Source organism: Homo sapiens, chromosome 13 (genome assembly GCF_000001405.40).
Source record: "Homo sapiens chromosome 13, GRCh38.p14 Primary Assembly".
In the NCBI taxonomy this organism is placed as follows: Eukaryota; Metazoa; Chordata; class Mammalia; order Primates; family Hominidae; genus Homo; species Homo sapiens.
Window position 1 is genome coordinate 87,592,385 of NC_000013.11, and position 21,034 is coordinate 87,613,418.

Genomic DNA, 21,034 nt, shown 5'->3' on the forward strand with positions numbered 1-21,034 from the left:
ACCTCAAATATGAAACTACCACAAGAAAATATTGGGGAAAATCTCCAGGATATTGGTCTGGGCAAATATTTCTTGAGCAATACCCCACAAGCACAGGCAACCAAAGCAAAGATAGACGAATGAGATCACATCAAGTTAAAAAGCTTCTGCACAGAAAAGGATACAATCAACAAAGTGAAGAGACAACCCACAGAATGGGATAAAATATTTGCAAAAACTACCTCTCTGACAAGGGATTAATAACCAGAATATATAAGAAGCTCAAAAAACTCTTAGAAAAAAAAAACAAACAAACTCATAATCCAATCAAAAATGGGTGAAACATTTGAACAGACTTTTTTTCAAAAGAAGACATACAAATGGCAAACAGGCATATGAAAAGGTGCTCAACAGCACTAATCATCAGAGAAATGCAAATTAAAACTGCAATGAGATACCACCTCACCACAGTTGAAATGGTTTACATCCAAAAGACAGGCCATAACAAATGCTGGCGAGTATGTGGAGAAAAGGGAATCCTCATACATTGTTGGTGGGAATGTAAATTAGTACAACCACTATGGAGAAGAGTTGGAAGTTTCTTAAAAAATTGAAAATTGAGCTACCATATGATCCAGGAATCTCACTGCTGGGTAACTACCCAAAAGAAGGGAAATCAATGTATCAAAGAGATAGCTGCACTCCTATGTTTCTTGCAGCAGTGTTTACAATAGCTAAGATTTGAAAGCAACCTAAATGTCCATCAACAGATGAGTGGATAAAGAAAATGTGGTACATATACACAGTGAAGTACTATTCAGTTATATGAATAATGAGAACCAGTCATGTACAACAACACGATGGAACTGGAGAGCATTATGTTTAGTGAAATAAGCTAGGCGCAGAAAGACAAATATCGCATGCTCTCACTAATTTGTGGGATCTAAAAATAAAAACAATTGAACTTATGGGTGGTTGGAGGGCAGGTGGAGATGGCTAATGGGTACAAAAAGATAGAAAGAATAAATAAGACCTACTATTTGATAGCACAATAGGGTGACTATAGTCTGTAATAACTTAATTGTATATTTAAAAATAAATAATGTAATTGGATTGTTTGTAACTCAAAAGATAAATGATTGAGAGGATGGATACCTCATTCTCCATGATGTGCTTATTTCACATTACATGCTTGTATCAAAACATCTCATATACCCCGCAAATTTATACACCTACTATGTATTCACAAACATTTAAAAAAATAATTTAAAAATTATTTCTTATATGAATCAATAATTTCATTAATTTGTCATTAATATAAGCACTGACAAAAAGTAAATCCATGTATTCATACAGACACTCTATAAAGAAATGTTAGTTTAATGCTAGGTGCGGTGGCTCAATGTTTTTCAGTGTGAGTAAAATATTTACAAAGCTTAGATTTATATCCTGAGAAATAATGTTTCATTTTATAAATATTAATAGGTTCTTAAATTTTTCAGTTTTCTGTTTTATAAAATTTAGAAAATATGAAGAACCTCAGCCTCTAAAAATATATTTTTGGCCAGGCGTGGTGGCTCACGCCTGTAACCCCAGCATGTTGGGAGGCCGAGGCAGGTGGATCACAAGGTCAGGAGTTCGAGACGAGCCTGGCCAACATGGTGAAACCCTGTCTCTACTAAAAATACAAAAATTAGCCAGTCACAGTGGTGGGCACCTGTAGGGACAGCTACTCGAGAGCCTGAGGCAGGAGAATCGCTTGAACCCGGGAGGCAGAGGTTGAAGTGGGTGGAGGTCATGCCACTGCTCTCCAGCCTGGGTGACAGAGCAAGACTCCATCTCAAAAATTAAAAAAAAAATTAAAAAAAGGTAGTTTACACAAACAATTATTTGTGATTAAGCAAGCATTGTAAAGAAATCCCACAAACAGGGGTAGAGTAATTCATTTTTTATTTAGAGAAAACTGTTTAGTCATCCTGCACTACACAATAACAATAACCTAGGTAATTTAAATAGTTCAACTTTTTAAAACTGTGTACCTTTGAAGTGTAACTGTGAAGCAGCTCTATTATATAAGGTTAAAATTATCAATCAGAGCCACTAAATAGGTGATAGCAAATTCATAGAAAACTGCTGTTTAAATTAACTAAATTGAAAAAATATATAAAAATATGCTAAGTAGAAAAAGGCTATAACAAGACTCTAAATATCTTCACTAATAAACAGACACAATATGCTAAAACCGTAAGGTGAACAATGTGGCAGCCATTGAGAGTGGCAAAACTGTGTGACATGGAAAAACCTTAAAATATACACTGACTGAAAAATTCCTATTGCTTAATGACAGTTTAGCCATTGCAACATCATAGCCCAAACATTTACCCTCATGTGTGTGGTGATGTGGTGTAAACAAACTTACTGCCTTGCCACCTTTATAAAAGTATAGCACATGCAACTATGTGTAGTACCTAACATTTAATAATGACAATAAGCAAGTGTTACTGGTTTATGTATTTGCTGTACTTTTTTATTATTATCTTGAATGTACTCCCTCTGCTTACTTAAAAATGAAAATTAACTGTAAAACAGCCTCAGGAGATCCTTCAAGGGATATTCCTGAAGAAGGCCTTATTATCATGGGATATGACAGGTCCTTGTGCGTTATTGTCCCTAAAAACCTTCCAGTGAGACAAGATACGGAGGTGGGAGACAGTGATACTGATGATCCTGACTCTATGTATGTTTAGACTAATGTGTGTGTTTGTGTCTTTGTTTTTAACAAAAAATTTGAAAAGTAAAAAATGAAAATTGAAAAAATAAATTTAAAACTATAGAATAAAAATATAAAGTACTTTCGTAGAGCTGCACAATGTGTTGTTTATGTTTTAAGCTATAATGTTATTACAAAGTAGTTAAAATTTGAAAATAATTTAAAAGTATATAAAGAAAAAAGTTACAGTAAGCTAAATTATTATTGAAGAAAATTTTTTATAAATGTTGTGTAGCTGAAGTGTACTGCCTTTGCAAATCTATGGTAACATATAGTAATGTCCTACCTGTGCCTTCACACTCAATCACCACACGCTGACACACCCAGAGCAACTTCCATTCCTACAAGCTCCACTCACGGTAAGTGTCTTATATAGGTGTTCCTTTTATCTGTAAGCCACATTTTTACCATATTTTTTGTATGGTTAGATACTTAAATACTTACCATTGTGTTACAATTGCCTATAGCATTCAGAACAAGCATGCTGTTCACGTTTGTAGCCTACGACAATTGGCTATACCATATATCTTAGATGTATAGTAGTCTATATCATCTAAATTTGGCCAATCTACTCTGTGTTGTTCACACAATGGCAAAATTGCTCAACAATGCATTTCTGATAACATATCTTTTTGTTAATTGACATATGACTATAGATTAAAGAGAGCACACAACCTATGAATAAAATATGAATTTTAAAGCAGGCAATGGCCTTCCAAAGTGCTGAGATTACAGGGATGAGCCATACAAAAATAAATAAAAGAATAAATAAAAGCAGACAAAACACATTTGTAGAAAGAGGTCACAATAGGGGCCAGGCGCAGTGGCTCACGCCTGTAATCCCAAGACTTTGGAAGGCCGAGGCGGGTGGATCACGAGGTCAGGAGATCGAGACCATCCTGGCTAATACGGTGAAGCCTCATCTCTACTAAAAGTAGAAAAAAAAAAAAAAAAAAAAAAAAACTTAGCCGGGCATGGTGGCGGGCGACTGTAGTCCCAGCTACTCAGGAGGCTGAGGCAGGAGAATGGCGTGAACCCGGGAGGTGGAACTTGCAGTGAGCCGAGATCGCACCACTGTACTCCAGCCTGGGCTACAGAGAGAGACTCCGTCTCAAAAAAAAAAAAAAAAAAAAAAAAGAAAGAGGTCACAATAAATGCTGATAGTTATTGCTTTTAGGGGATAGGGAAATTTGATGTTTTTTATTGCATTGTTACATTTGCCTGCTGTTTTCAAATTTGTAGTAGAATTCACTGTTCTTTCCATATTCCCCACTATTCTGAAGCAGCTGGCTTGATAGAATGGCCCTTTGAAGATTCAGCTACCTTGATGGCTAGGTTGAAATATCTTGCAGGATTGGGGCAATGTTCTTCCTTCAGGAGGCTGTCTATGCTCTAAATCTGTGCCCCATATAAATTGCTGTTTCTCCCATAGCCAGGATTTATTGGTCCAGGAATCAACGGAGTAGAAATAAGAATGGTACTTTTCACTATAAACCCTAATGATCCACTAGGAAATTTTTTTGCCTTCTGTCCCAGCAACTTTATGGCCTACTTGTCTAGAAGTTTTCATTCCAAAGGGAAGAAGTGCACCAAGAGAAAGAACAATGAATTCATCGAAGTGGAAATTAAGACTGTTGCTCAGTCAATTTGGATTTCTCATGACTCTGAATCAACAGGCAAATAAAGGAGCTACTATACTCGCAAGGTGATTGGTCTTGAATGCTAAGGGAAATTAGACTTCTGCAATTGAGGTAAAGAAGAATATATCTACAATACACGAGATCCCTTAGTGCTTCTGAGTACTACCATATCCTGCTGTGGTTAAAAGTTAATGAAAATCGGCCAGGCTTGGTGGTTCACGCCTGTAATCCCAGCACTTTGAGAGGCCGAGGCGGGTGGTTCACAATGTCAGGAGATCGAAACCATCCTGTGAATGGTGAAACCCTGTCTCTACCAAAAATACAAAAAATTAGCCTGGCGTGGTGGTGGGCGCCTGTAGTCCCAGCTACTCGGGAGGCTGAGGCAGGAGAATGGCGTGAACCTGGGAGGCGGAGCTTGCAGTGAGCTGAGACTGTGCCAGTGCACTCCAGCCTGGGCGACAGAGAGAGACTCCATCTCAAAAAAAAAAAAGTTAATGAAAATCTGGGTGCAGTGGCTCACACCTGTAATCGTGGCAATTCAGGAAGCCAAAATGGGAGGATTGCTTGAGGCCAGGAGTTCAAGAATAGCCTGGGCAACATAGCAAGACCCCACTTCTACAAAAAGTAAAAGACAAAAAATAATTAGCCTGGTGTGGTGTCATGTATCTGTAGTCTCATTTGCTTGGGAAGCTGAGGTGTAAGGATTGCTTGAGCTCAGGAGTTTAAGGTTACAGTGAGCTCTGATAGGGCCATGCACTCTAGCCTGGGCAAAAGAGTAAGATCCCATCAAAAAAAAAAAAAAAAAGGCATAGACCCTTAAGAAATAAAGATTTGGATTATATGGATTATATTACTTGACAAAGAACCACAACCAGCTGAGGTGATTGCTGAAGACAAATGTAATATAGAATGGATAGCGGAAGAAAGCAATTATAATTACCAGCTAAGACCACAGGTCTACTTCAGAAACAAAAACTGTAACTTTATTGTATTGTAAATATGATTTAATTGTAAATATGTGTGTATATATATGTGGGGTATATGTACATATATATGTGTATACATATGTGTGACTCTGTGTGTATATACACTCAAACACATATACACAAATACCTTTGCTTTCTCTTATATTATCCCTTTCTATAAAAAAAGTTGTATTAACTTTGCAACATAGTACTTAAATATTAACTGTATATCATTGCATTTGAGTTACATGATATCAGAGAAAACACCACCCATGACCTTTACATCCTCTTCTGGGGAAAGAGTTGGTGGATTTTCAGGGTTATGCAGGATGATTGTATCATGTCAGAAAGAAGTATTCTTTGCTATTATCTTTATTTGGAAATTAAATATGATTTAAAGAGATGTGTATGTGTGACAAGTTGACAAGGAGTGGACTGTGATGGTTCATTTTATATGTCCACTTGGCTAGGCTATGAAATCCAGGTATTATTCAAACACTAGTCTAAATGCTCATGTGAAGGTGTCTTTAGATGTGTTTAACATTTGCAGTCAGTTGATGTTAACTAAAAGATTTAGACTTGCATCAGACTAACTTACTTCAAAGTATACTGCAAAGCTGTAGTGACGAAAACAGCATAGTACTGACAGAAAAATAGACATGTAGATTAAAGGTACAGAAAAAAAGCTTCCAGAAACAAATCTACACATTTACAGTTAACTGATTTTCAGTAAAGGTCCAAAGAATACAGAAAGGTACCAAGAAAGGACAATTTCTTCAATAAATGTTGTTGAAAAACTGGATAACCTCATGCAGAAGAATAAAGTTCGCCCCTTATCTCTCACCATATGAAATATTAACTCAAAATGAATGAAGTCTTAAATGTAAGACCTGAAACTATGAAACTATTGGAAGAAAACACAGGGAGAACACTTCATGATATTGACTTGGGCAAGAATTTTTTGGCTAAGTCGTCATAGCACAGTTATGTTTTTATATATGTTTTGCATATTTTTATAAGAAAACATAGACAAATGGAATTACAATAAATTAGCAAGCTTCTCCACAGCAAATGAAATAATCAAAAGAATGAAGAGACAACCTACAGAATGGGAATAAATAGTTGAAAACTATACACCTGACAAGGTGTTAATATCCAAAAAATATAAGAAACTTAAACTTTTATTACCAAAAACCAAATAAATTAAAATAAAAATGGGCTAAAAACCTAAATAGACACTCTGCAAAAAAAGGCATACAAATGGCTGGCAGACATGAAAAAATGCTCAACTTCAATAATCATCAGGGAAATACAAATTAAAACCACAAGGAAATATCACCCACCCCAGTTAGAATGGCTATTGTTAAAAACGTTAAAGATATCAAGTGTTTACAAGTATGTGGAGAAAAGAAAACTCTTGCACACTTGCTGATTGAAATGTAAATTAATACAGCCATTATGGATAACAATATGGAGATTCCTAAAGAAATTAAAATTAAAACTATTATATGAACCAGCAATCCCACTGCTGGGTCAATATCCAAGGGAACTGAAATTAGTGTGTTGAGGAGATATCAGCTCTTCATGCTTATGGTAGAACTATTTACAATAGCCAAGAGATGGAATCTACTTAAGTGTCCATAATTGAATGAATAAAGAAAATGTGATATATATATTATATACTAGTCTTCCTCTCCCAGTCCACTTACTCAAATGTTAATCATTTCTGGCAGCACTATATATATATTATATGCATTATATTATATGTACTATATTATATACATTGTAGTATATTCCATATACTATATTATATACATTGTAGTATATTCCATATACTATATTATATACAGTGTAATATATTATATATTATATATTCTTACATTATAATGTTGCATTATATTATATATTATATATTACTACATTATATTATATTATATATAATATATACCAGTATATATACATATATACTTATATATATCTATATATCCATATAATATAGTAGTATATATAGTATATATATATCTCATATGTATACTATATATACTACATACTAGTACAACATACTAGTCTTAGTACTATACATACTAGTATATATAGTATACATACTTATATGTGTTTTGCATATTTTAATAAGAAAACATAGACAAATGGAACTACAATAAATTAGCAAGCTTATATATACTATATACTATATATACACTATATATTTATGTTGTATAGTATATGTTATATAATATATAATATAGTAAATATATTTATATATATACACATATATATTTTATATATAGAAACTCCCTTTCACTTACACATATATCCTATGAGTTCTGTCCCTCTGGAGAACTCTGACTAATATGGCATCTAGAATCATTAATCATTAATCACATAGAGGTAAAAAGCAAAATGGTGATTACTAGAAACTGGGGTGGTTAGGAGGATTTGGGATTTGGGGAGACATTGGCCAAAGTATATGTAAATATAGTTAGACGGGAAAAATCAATTTCAAGGAGTCTGTTGTACAGCAAGGTGACTATAATAAAAGTTAATATATTGTATTCTTGAAAATGTAAAGAGGGTGGATGTTATATGTTCTTATGGTGAAAATAATAACTATGTGAGATAAAGCATTTATTATTTAGCTATATTTAACCATCCCATATTGTATATATACTTCAAAACATCATGTTTTACACCACAAATACTTTTTTTAGTTATCAAACAATTTTTAAAATAAGTCATAAATAAAATTTAAACTTTTCAAAAATTTGAATTAACTTCAATAATTTGAGTGGGCCTGTTCCAATAAGATGAAGAAGTTACGAGCAAAAACATTTGAGGTTTCCTGGAAAAAAAAGAAACTGCCTCAGGATTGCAACATAGAAATCCAGTATAAGTTTCCAGCCTGCCCATACACCCTGCCAATTTTGCAGAATGTGAGTTTTGGAAGGGTGAGGGGGGTATATGTATTGCATACAGTTGATACTTGAACAATGTTGGAGGTAAGGGTATCAACCTCCATGAAGTCAAAAATTCATGGATAACTTAGGCTGCCGCAAAGCTTAACTTCTAATAGCCTACAGCTGACCTGACAACATAAACATTCTGTTAACACATATTTTGTATGTCATGTGTATTATATGCTATATTCTTACAATACAGCATAAGTAAGCTAGGGGAAAATGGGGTTCAGAAAATCATAAGGATGAGAAAATATATGTACTAGTCATTAAGTGGAAGTGGATCATCAAAAGTCTTCATTCTTGTTGTCTTCACGTTGAGTTGAGAAGGAGGAGAAAGATGATGGTTTGGTCTTGCTATATCAGAGCTGTAGCCGAAGAGAGAGAAAATCTCAGTATAAGAGAACCCGTGCAGTTCAAACCCACACGTTCAAGGGTCAACCCTATACACACGCATGAACGCATGCACACACAGACACACACACAGACATATATTTAAACTTTTTTAAAAAATGAATTATATGTGCTATTTAAAAAATAATTATACGTATATGTATATAGAGAGAATAACACACATATATACATATATATTCAACCTTTTTTAAAAAATATGTTCTTTTTAAAAAACAAATTATGTGTGTGTGTATATATATACACATATATTTGTGTGTATATGTGTATATGTGTGTATATATATTCCCTTTTTGTGGACAAATTGGATAAAATGCTAATGCTCAGTGAAGAGAAAGTCAAGGCAATCCTAATACTGTTTTTGCAAACCTCCCTGAAAGTCTCTTTTCCACTCTCTTTTCACATTCCCTTCTTATATGCTCACCACACCAGAGCTCAAAAAGATTAATATGTGCAAATTTAGTGGATTAAAATGAAATAAAGTCATTATTCCACAATTTGGGAGGTATAAAGTCTGAAATGGGTTTCACTGGGCTGAAGTGCAGATGTTGACAGGTCTGCATTTCTTTTAGAGGTTTTACTGGAGAATCCACTCTTTCATAGTTTCCATCTTCTACAGGCCTCTCTTGAATTTCTTAGTTCAAGGCCCCTTCCTACATCCTTAAAGCCAGCAGAGAAGCATCATCTTCAAATCTCGCTGACTCTGATCCTCCTGACTCTGTCTTTCATTTATTGAATCCCTGGTGGTTACAGTAGCTCCAGCCTAATGATCCAGGATAATCTCTTCATCTCAATCTGTGCTTTGATCTCATCTGTGAAGCCTCATTTGCCATATAAATAAACATATTCACAAACTCCAGGTATTAATAAGGGGACTTTTTTTTTGAGAAGAAATTATTCTGCCTGCCATGCTATATAATAATTGTTTTAAAAGTTTAAATCTTACATTCAATAATATTATTATTAAGAAAGAATTTATGATACAGAGCTCTATAAAATGAAACATGAAACAATATAAAATATTAATTGCAACACAGTTAAAGATCATACAGTTTATAAAGTAGCAAAAAGAACAACAACAACAACAACATCCGGTTTTCTATTGAGGACCAACAAGGAAAGAACAACTATCTACTCAGCAGGTTTCAGTATTTGAGCCATCATTTAATTAAATATATTTGGAATCCTATAATCTCCTGTTCATCCAAATATAGATTTTTATATTCCAAATGACAGAACCTTGAGATATTTTATAGATTTTTACCCCATTTTAAAATTACTGAAATGGATAAAAACAAGAACAATAACAGAAAAACACCCTGTCAATCTAGACTGTTACACTGGATGAAAGAAATCTTCAATTAAGGCAAAACAACCTGTACCTCAAAAAAAAAAAAAAAGCTAAAAGAAATCATCACCAGCACACCTGCATTACAAGAACAACTAAATAAAGTTCTTCACTCTGAAGGAAATGATACCAGTTAGAATTCTAATTAGAAATAAACAGCAGAGAAAAAAACATAAATGTGTATGCGTGCATGCAGGTATGTGAGCATGGGAGTGAAAATGTTTGAAGTAACAACAGTAACAATGTTTGTGAGTTTTATAACATGAATTGTTAGGATTTTAACATATGAAAACAATCTAAAAAGGCTGGAGTAAATATGATTTGTCCATTCTACATTTATTGTCTGGGACATAGTAAAATTTATAATTTTAGATAGAGTATATTGTTACAAATACATTTCGGAATTTCCAGGAAACCGTTGAAAGACTGATAATTAAAGTGTAACAAAAAATTTAATAATGGAGAAATGAAGTAATTTCAAAACATTTTAAAATAATGGTTGCACTGATACATGCTCTTTCCAGTCATGTATGAAAGTAAAAATTGATATGTAGGCTTTCCAGCACTTGATATAATCAGATGTTCTAAATTTTGACACTGGGATAATTAGGAAATAATTTTTCATGAAGGTCTTAATTTATATTTCCCTATGAGTAACGAGGCTTGATTTCATTTATTCATATGTTCAATCACTACTTTTATTCCTCCTCTTTCAAATTTCTTCTTAAGTATTTAGTTCTATTTTGGGTATTAATTTATAGAAGTAGTTTGCATATTTTGGATATCTTTCAGATATATGGGTTGCCAATATGTTTTATAAATTGTAGCTTTTAATTTTATCAGCTGAATCTTTCAATAAACAATTTTGTAACTGTAATGTAGTAAAACTTATCAACTATTATTTATCTTACCTAAGGTTTTATAAGAATATCCTTCTTGATTCCATTGATTCTTGTGTTTTTTGTAATGGACACTTCTTTGCATGTAAAATTATCTTTAATTTGGGGTGTTGTTAAGATCTTCACATTTTTGATACCTATGTGTGTGTGTGTGTGTGTGTGTGTGTGTGTATATATATTGTGTGTGTATATATTTATATATATATATAAATATATACACACACAGACACACACACTTAGGTTGTCTTCAGAATTTATTTATTTTGTTCATCTCCATCAACATTTACATCATCATAAAAGCAGTGTTATTTCTTTGAAGCTACATATATATATATATATATACTTGACTTGCATCTCTTGCAATTCTCCGTCCCTGTACTCCTCTTACTTTCTCAGGAAAGCATTTTTTAAAATTTGTCTTGTCTCTCTGTCTCAATTTTCCTCCTCTCTTTCTTCCAGTGGTGTAGGCCAAAATAGCCTGGAGTCATTTTGAATACTCTCTTTTTTCACATTCACATGTAATTCATCAGGACATATGTCACCCTCTCTAATGCTAATGTTCTAATCTGAGCCACCATCATCTCTCACATGGATTAATATAATAATCTCCTAATTAGAGGTTCGCTTAAGCCCAGGAGGCGGAGGTTAAAATGAGCAAAGATTGCACCACTTCACTCCCGCCTAGGGGACAGAGTGAGACACCTTCTTAAAACACACACACACACACACGGACACACACAGGGACACACACAGGGACACACACACACACACACACACAAAGGTTTTTGTGTCTCTGTCTCCTTCAGTTCTGCTCTGATTTTAGTTATTTCTGGTCTTCTGCTAGGTATTGGATTTGTTTGCTCTTGCTTCTCTAGTTCTTTTAATTGTTATGGTAGGGTGTCAATTTGAGATATTTCTAGCTTTCTGATGTGGGCATTCAGTGCTATAAATTTCCCTTTTAACACTGTTTTAGCTGTTTCCCAGAGATTCTGGTACATTTTCTCTTTTTCCCCATTAGTTTCAAAGAACTTCTTTATTTCTGCCTTAATTTCATTATTTATCCAGGAGTCATTCAGAAGCCGGTTGTTCAATTTCCATGCGGTTTTGAGTGAGTTTCTTAATCCTGAATTCTAATTTGATTGCACTGTGGTCTCAGAGACTGTTTGTCTTTTTTTCTATTCTTTTGCATTTGCTGAGGAGTGTTTTACTTCCAATTATGTGGTCGATTTTAGAATAAGTGCCATGTGGCACTGAGAAAACAAAGCCCTAGCCAATAACATACTGAATGCACAAAAGCTGGAAGCATTCCTTTTGAAAACCAGCACAAGACAAGATTGCCCTCTGTCACCACTCCTATTCAACATAGTATTGGAAGTTCTGGCCAGAGCAATCAGGCAAGAGAAAGAAATAAAGGATATTAGAATAGGAAGAGAGGAAGCTAAATAGTCTCTGTTTGCAGATGACATGATTCTATATTTAGAAAACCCCATCGTCTCAGCCTAAAAACTCTATAAGCTGATATGCAACTTCAGCAAAGTCTCAGTACAAAATCAATAAGCAAAAAATCACAAGCATTACTATATACCAACAATGGACAAGCAGAGAGCCAAATCATAAGCTACCATTCACAATTGTTATAAAGAGAATAAAATAACTAGGAATACAACTTACAAGGAATGTGAAGTACCTCTTCAAGGAGAACTACAAACCACTGTTCAAGGAAATGAGAGGACAAAAACAAATGGAAAAACATTCCATGCTCATGGATAGGAAGAATCAATCAGTATCGTAAAAATGGCCATACCGTCCAAAGTAATTTATAGATTCAATGATATTCCCATCAAGCTACCATTGACTTTCTTCACAGAATTAGAAAAATACTACTTTAAATTTCATATGGAACCAATGAAAAGCCCATATAGCCAAGACAATTCCAAGCAAAAAGAACAAAGCTGGAGGCATCATACTACCTGACTTCAAACTATACTACAAGGCTACAGTAACCAAAACAGCATGGTACATATATAGACCAAAGGAACAGAACAGAGTCCTCAGAAATAGCACCACACATCTACAACAATCTGATCTTTGACAAACCTGACAAAAATAAGCAATGGGGAAAGGATTCCCTATTTAATAAATGGTGCTGGAAAACTGGCTAGCCATATGCAGAAAACTGGAACTGGACCCCTTCCTTACACGTTATACAAAAATTAACTCAAGATCGATTAAAGACTTAAACATAAAACCCAAAACCATAAAAATCCTAGAAGAAAACGTAAGCAATGCCATTCAGGATATAAGCATGGGCGAAGACTTCCTGACTAAAACTCCAAAAGCGATTGCAACAAAAGCCAAAATTGACTAATGGGATCTAATTAAACTAAAGAGCTTCTGCACAGCAAAAGAAACTATCATCAGAGTGAACAGGCAACCGACAGAATGGGAGAAAATTTTTGCAATCTACCCATCTGACAAAGACTTAATATCCAGAATCTACAGGGAATGTAAATAAATTTACAAGAAAAAAAAAAAAAACAAAGAACCCCATCAAAAAGTGGGCAAAGGATATGAACAGAACCTTCTCAAAAGGAGATATTTATGCAGCCAACAAACATATGAAAAAAAGCTAATCATCACTAATCATTAGAGAAATGCAAATCAAAACCACAATGATGTACCATCTCATGCCAATCGGAAGGGCGATCATTAAAAAGCCAAGAAACAACAGATTCTGGCAAGGCTTTGGAGAAATAGGAATGCTTTTACACCATTGGTGAGAGTGTAAATTAGTTCAACCATTGTGGAAGACAGCGTGGAGATTCCTCAGGGATCTAGAACCAGAAATATCAATTGACCCAGCAATCCCATTACTGGGTATATACTCAAAGGATTATAAATCATTCTGCTATAAAGATACATGCACAGTTATGTTTATTGCAACACTATTTCCATTAACAAAGACTTGGAACCAACCCAAGTACCCATCAGTGACAGAATGGATAAAGAAAATGTGGCACATATACACCATGGAATACTATGCAGCCATAAAAAAGAACGAGATCATGTCCTTGGCAGGAACATGATGAAGCTGGAAGCCATCATTCTCAGCAAACTAACAGAGGAACAGAAAACCAAACGCCACATTTTCTCATTCATAAGTGGGAGTTGAACAATGAGAACACGTGAACACTGGGAGGGGAACAACACACACAGGGGCCTGTTGGGGGTTGGGGGACAAGGGAAGGGAGAGCATTAGAACAAATACCTAATGCATGCAGGGCATAAAACCTAAATGATGGGTTGATAGGTGCAGCAAACCACCATGGCACATGTATACGTATATAACAAACCTGCACATCCTGCACACATATCTAGGAACTTAAAGAAAAAACACAACGCACACACACCAAAAAAAAAAAAAAAAAAACCAAAAACTCCTAATTTGCCTGATTGCAGTTGTCCGCTTTACTTTTTATATGAACCAGCAGTCTGAGTGATTCTTTTAAAATACAATTTCTATTTTGTCACTTACATCATTTCTCATGTTTTACTCAGACAAGTAGTCAAAATCCTTACAATGACAAAAAGACCATATACCATCTACCCACCATCTTTCTCATCAGTAATCCACTCGTTGATTTCAGTCAGTCAATTGCCTGGTCACTCTGCTAAATGGCCTTTCTATACACAGAATAAGCAAGGAAAATCCCTGCCTTAGAGCCCTTTGCATAGGCTATTTCCTCAGTCTGGACTGTCTTTCCCCAAATATTTTCATTGCTATCTCCCTCACCTTCATTTCTTATTCATGTGTCTCATATTCAGTGGAAAATCTCTATTCACCACCCGTTTTGAACAGCAAATCATCTTCTCTTTGTTGTTGTTTATTCTTTCCCTGATCTGTTTTTTGTTTGGTTTTCTTTGTTTGTTTTGAATTGACAATGTCTGTTTCAAACAGTGTAAGTAGGTTATAGTGATGTGACAATCAGTCTCAAATCTCAGTGGTATAAATAACCAAGATCATTCTACAAACACCACGTAGGTCTGCAGGGAGTCTCATGGGATTGTAGTTCCTTTGGATACAGCTAATGGATGACCTATGAAGCTAAGATTCTACCACCACCTTCTGTTTACCCAGTTAACTTCAGCAGCAGGAAGAAAGAAGAGAACATGGGAAATTGTGTATGAGTTATTGAATATGCCTATAATAGTTATTGAATATGTTTATAATAATTATTGAATATGTCTATACGTCATTTTCTTATGCATAATCTCAAAGGAGTGAGGAAAATCTTCCATTTGTTTATGAAGAGTAAAGAACCAGATATATCTATGAAAAGTAGCATAGTTTGATGCCTTGCCTTCTAACCTAATATGTGATTCACTGATAAGTATTTTTAATTAATTATCCCTCTTACCCCAGTAGAATACTGAATTCATATGGTCAATGAGTTTTAGCTATTTTGATCATGATTGAAGCCCAGTAGGCAAAACAGTGTAAAGAATATACTTGATGCACAATAAAAATGTATTGCATGCACAAAATCCAACAAAGTGCATTACTTTCTCTTTATTATAGAAATTTTATACTTTTATTACAATAGTATTTTTTGAATGTATGAATTTTTCTAGAATTATCTTTTATCCTTATTGTTACAGTTTCTAAACATCATAAAACTCAACTTCTAAATCAAATGCATTATGTACATGATATCCTGTTTAATTTACTTAACTGTAAGAAATCTTTCTTTATGAAATTATGTAAAATGTATATTTTTCCTTTAATGGAACCCTAACACTCAGCACGTTGACTGTACCAGGTACCAAAATATACTGCTGAAAGAGGTTACAGCAAAATTTTGGGTTGAGAGGTGGGAGTGGAATCAGAAAATAAAGAAAAAGGCATACATGAGAGGATGAAAGATAGTAATGGGATGATAAAAATGGAACCAGGGATAGGACTAAGGTCAGGAAATGCATAATGAAAGCAAACCACTGACTGCATAGCCAAAGCCAACTTGAACAGAAGGTAACTTGAAGAAATCAGAAATCAGACAGGTAGTGCTTTTCTCCCTAAATTCATTTCCTTTATTCCCTATAAATATATCTTTATCTAAACATTTGACCATCCAGCTAAAACCTGTATGTCCCTGGCTTTCCTCTGGCTAGGTGTGCATATGTACCTCATGTTTGGAACAATGTGTGTGAGTGGAGATATTGGATGCTACTTCTGGATGATTCAAGTTAAGCTTTTTTGTATGGGTGAGTCTTTTTCCCCCTCCCATGGGTTGGAATGAAGATGTGGAAGCAGTTTATTTTTGACTGAATACACAAGGGCACAAACTATTGAATAGTAGGAACCCAGAAGGAAAATTGTCTGATTTTGTGAATGTCTTCCTGGGTCAAAGCTGCCTGATAACTGGAACTAACAGGACTATTATTACATACAGAAATAGAGTTTACTTATTTAAATCACTGTAATTGTGTCGGTTGTTTACTATAGCAGGTGGACTCTAACTGATATAGGTGGTGACATCCAAAACTGGAAAATACAGAGAACCCGAGATCATGCATGAGAGAGTCAAGGAAAATAGGAGAAATAGTTTTTACTTATCTGAACTCAGAGCAAATGGTTTTACAAAGCAGCCGTTGTCCCATTGGCAAGCCATTGCCCTACTTTGGCAAGTTAAACCTTATATTTTCAGATCTTGGATCAAGAACCACAACTTGGAAAAATATTTTCTGTTCTCTCTTCCTCTCTTCCTCCCCTCCTTCCATATCCCAGCCTTGATTCTGTCGCCCTTATACACTGTTGGTTGTTTTCTCTTTCACATACCTAGTAATTGGTATAACAGAGTTATCTTTTCCTCTTCTTTTCTTTTATTTCTTTTTTCTTTTTTTTTTTTTTTTTTGAGACTGAGTCTCACTCTGTCACCCAGACTGGAGTGCAATGGCAGGACCTTGGCTCACTGCAACCTCTGCCTCATGGGTCCAAGCGATTCTCCTGCCTCAGCCTCTCAAGTAGCTGGGATTACAGGCGTGTGCCACCATGCCTGGGTAATTTTTTGTTTTTTTTCAGTAGAGACGGGGTTTCACCATGTTGACCAGGCTGATCTCGAACTCCTGACCTCAGGTGAACCACCTGCCTCGGCCTCCCAAAGTGCTGGGATTACAGGCGTGAGTCACCGTGCCTGGCCCTCTTTTCTTTCTTTTCTTTTCTTTTTTTTTTAACAAACAAACAAAACATTACAACTGTTTTCTTTAATGAAAGTTGAATAAGAAAAATAACTTATATGTCTAAATTCCTTAGAGTTCTCCAACCCAGTGTAAAATTAAAACTTATACCTATCTAGAACGGAAGGATACTTATAATCAGCACAATGGATTGTCTTCCCCTTTCAGACTCAGCTGATCTCTGTGTTGCAGCACTTTTGATCATCCACTCAGCCTCCTAACCTCTCCCACAAAGGAAAAGTTGACATGCCTAAGTCTTCCCACTAGCAGTCTATAATATAAAAATATATCATACAGAATCATTACCACTTACTTCGACAAGAAGATGCAAGGAGAGCTACATACACAAATTGTAATGATTACTATATTGTATGTAGATTCTATATTCATTTTTCGTATTAAGCTGGATTCTTAATAGTGAACAGAACCAACGTGCAATATATGTTCTGTAGTCAACAACTGTAGTCCAGTTATTACTGGAATGTAGAAAGGACTTCGATATTTTATTTCATGAATATTTTTTGAAAACAGTATTAAAAGTATATGATTATGTACATCAGTGTCACTTTATTGTAAGGTTTGCTTATTGAACAAATTTTTTAGCAATATATTTATTGCAGGACAATAGATAAGCTCTTAAAGAATATTGTAATGACAACCTATAGCTCTTAGTTTCATTTGTTCTAAAGCTTTCCTCTAAGCTCCTTCTTAGATATTATGTAACTTCTAGACACAAAACTTAATGGAAAATAAATTAGGCGTTGTGCATTGCTGACTTAGGACACACTGCAACTCCTTGTGCCTTCTGGATAACTTGGTTTCTACAAAAGCATATTACAATGCTACTGAAAGCTTATTTTGAAATTTCATAATTTCCCCTACATTATGCTTTATATAAAAATCTGCATTGTATATTTCTTTACATTTCAGATACAGCAAATTCATAGTAAAAATGTATCCTGAAAAGTTTCAATATGTATGTGTACAGTTACATTTAAATTATTTTCCAACATAGGCCTATTTATGTCATGCTGAAACCAGAAAACTTAGTTTTGTAGAATAGTAATGTTATTTTTTAGGACAACCAACTAAAACTGCCATTTAGGCATTATATATGACTCACTGCTGTAGTTACGATACCGTTTTTATTTTTAATCAAATCTTCCAGAGGCCTTATGGCAAGTAGTATTAAAACTACTAAGCAAAAGTTTATATAATTTGGGGATTAGTGTTTCATAGATCAGTAAGGATTCCCTATACATCTTTTGAAGGATTTGATAATTTGGAGTCCTAAAGGTACAGATCTTTCCCATATATCTACTTCTCTGTATTCCTTCATAAAGAACATACACTTAGCTTAACACTTTATGTAAAACAACACTCCCCCTCTCAACCTAAACATGCTGCCACCCTAGGCTCAGAGAACGGTATAGAGAGAATAGATAACTCACTTACACGGGATCCATTGGATTTTTCTCTGGGGACTTTGGAATGGAGACAAGGCAATGCCGTGTAGCTTAGCTATGCATGATTGACCTGTAAAGCTGTGTACCCACTGTCTGTATTTGGGATTCGATTTGCATTGGGGGGGATGCTTTGACGAGCCACATGTAATTAATAATATCAGGCAACTGATATGGTTTGACTCTGTGTCCCCACCCAAATCTCATGTGAAATTGTAACTTCCAATGCTGCGGGAGGGACCTGATGAGAGATGATTGGATCACGGGGACGATTTACCCCTTGCTGTTCTTGTGATAGTGAACAAGTTCTCAGGAGATCTGGTTGGTTAAAAATGTGTAGCACTTCCCTCTTCATGCTCTCTCTCTCTTGCTCCACCATGTGAAGATTGTGCCTGCTTCCTCTGCTTTCTGTCATGAGTATAAGTTTCCTGAGGCCTCCCCATCCATGTTACCTATATGCTCTGTGACACCGTAACTCAATTAAACCTCTTTTCTCCATAAATTACCCAGTCTCAAGTATGTCTTTATAGCAGTGTGAGAATGGACTAATAACACCAGCCATGTAGAGAAATGAGATGCAAACATAGGCACACAAAGAAATATAAGAAGACAAGATATTAAGAGAAAGACTGAGATGGCTTTCCAGCTATTGAGAAGTCTAAATACACTTCCTTAAATAAAGTTCATCTTTATACATACATTTTTTTCAGCCAATACCTAATTGTGGATATTTAAAAACTTATATTTTGAAAGTAAATTTCACTTCTACAGTAAACAAATTCATACCAATTTTATTCCCTAAGCCTGGGCTGCAAAATGAATGGGACACTTACCAGGAGGAAGTTGAAATATTTGAACAAGGGGAAATAATTTTCCATGCTAAAATATGAAATCCTCCCACTTTAGAGACAGATTTTATTTTCTAGCTGTGACTCACAATACTACTAGAAATCTCAGTTTTAATTTCTGCTCTGAGTTTAACTACCTATGTAATGATGAGGGTAAATTAATTAATCTCTGCCAATCAACAATCTCCAAATATTTGTTACATGCCAATTATGCAAATCATGGCATTTAAATGACATGGCAAATAAATAACATTTTTATTATCAAGGAGTTTACATCTTATAAAATAGCAACTATATAAAGATAAATTAGCAATACAAGAAATAAAATAAATGTTACAAAAATGTACAGTGGTAGTCCTGAAACTTCTCTATCTTGAGACCGCTTACGTTCTTAATGTCATGGAAGGCCCCAAAGAGCTTTAGTTTATGCAGGTTGTATCTATTGATATTACTGTATTAACAATTAAAACTGGGGCCAGGCTCAGTGGCTCACACCTGTAATCCCAGCACTTTGGGAGGCCGAGGCAGGCAGATCATGAGGTCAGGAGATCGAGACCATCCTGGCTAACACGGTGAAGCTTCGTCTCTGCTAAAAAAAAAAAAAAAAAATACAAAAAATGAGCCAGGCGTGGTGGTGGGCGCCTGTAGTCCCAGATACTCGGGAGGCTGAGGCAGGAGAATGGTGTCAACCCGGGAGGCAGAGCTTGCAGTGAGCCGAGATGGCGCCACTGCACTCCAGCCTGGGCAACAGATAAAGACTCCATATCAAAACAAAACAAAACAAAACAAAAATTAAAACTGAAAAAAATTTTAAATACTCACTAATTTTCCTAGCAATTCACTAAATTTTTAAAATAGTAATAACATATACATAAATATTAACAAAAGTAACATTTTGATGACAAATGGTTATTTTGCAAAGCAAAAGTAGGTTTAGTGAGATCTGTGTTGCTTTGTATTTTTGTGAAATTCTTTAATGATTGGCTTAGTAGATCACTGAATATTCCACTTTTCTGAACTCAGTGGGTTATGGTATGTTGTTCTGGTTGAAGTATATAAAGAAGATCCAGCTATGTACAGATAAGTACTTGAAAACAAACTGAGGCACTCTTGGACACACTAAAAGGGTCTTGGGGTCATCCAACGTGCCTCAGATCACATTGTGACACCCATAAACATGCAGGTTTAATTTCAGAACAAATTATAAATAAACGTAAAATACTTCATGGAACTGGGAATTAAAATAAACAAACATTTTTGAGAGGGAGTATCCACATTAACCTTGTGAGTTAGACAAATTGTTCCTAGCTGGAAAATAAAGAACATGAAATCTATAAAAATCAAACAAAATGTTGTGGCCATTGAAAGGTAGGGACTATCCCCAATTGTTTTGTGTAGGTTTATTCTTTTTCTAAGGAAGTTTTGTTGGTAGAAAGAGATTGAGTTTTCAAGCCTGGGTTTGAATCCATGTCAATCACTCATTCTATGCACTTGGCTACTTTAGCATCTTTTAAGCTCAGTTT

At 35.0% G+C, this 21,034-nt stretch overlaps 1 long non-coding RNA gene across 1 annotated transcript in view; it reads right to left on the reverse strand.

Moving 5' to 3' along the window:
• The window catches only part of MIR4500HG (MIR4500 host gene), a 226,977-nt gene that overhangs the window by 148,398 nt on the left and 57,545 nt on the right, over window positions 1-21,034 (reverse strand). The window lies entirely within an intron of this gene.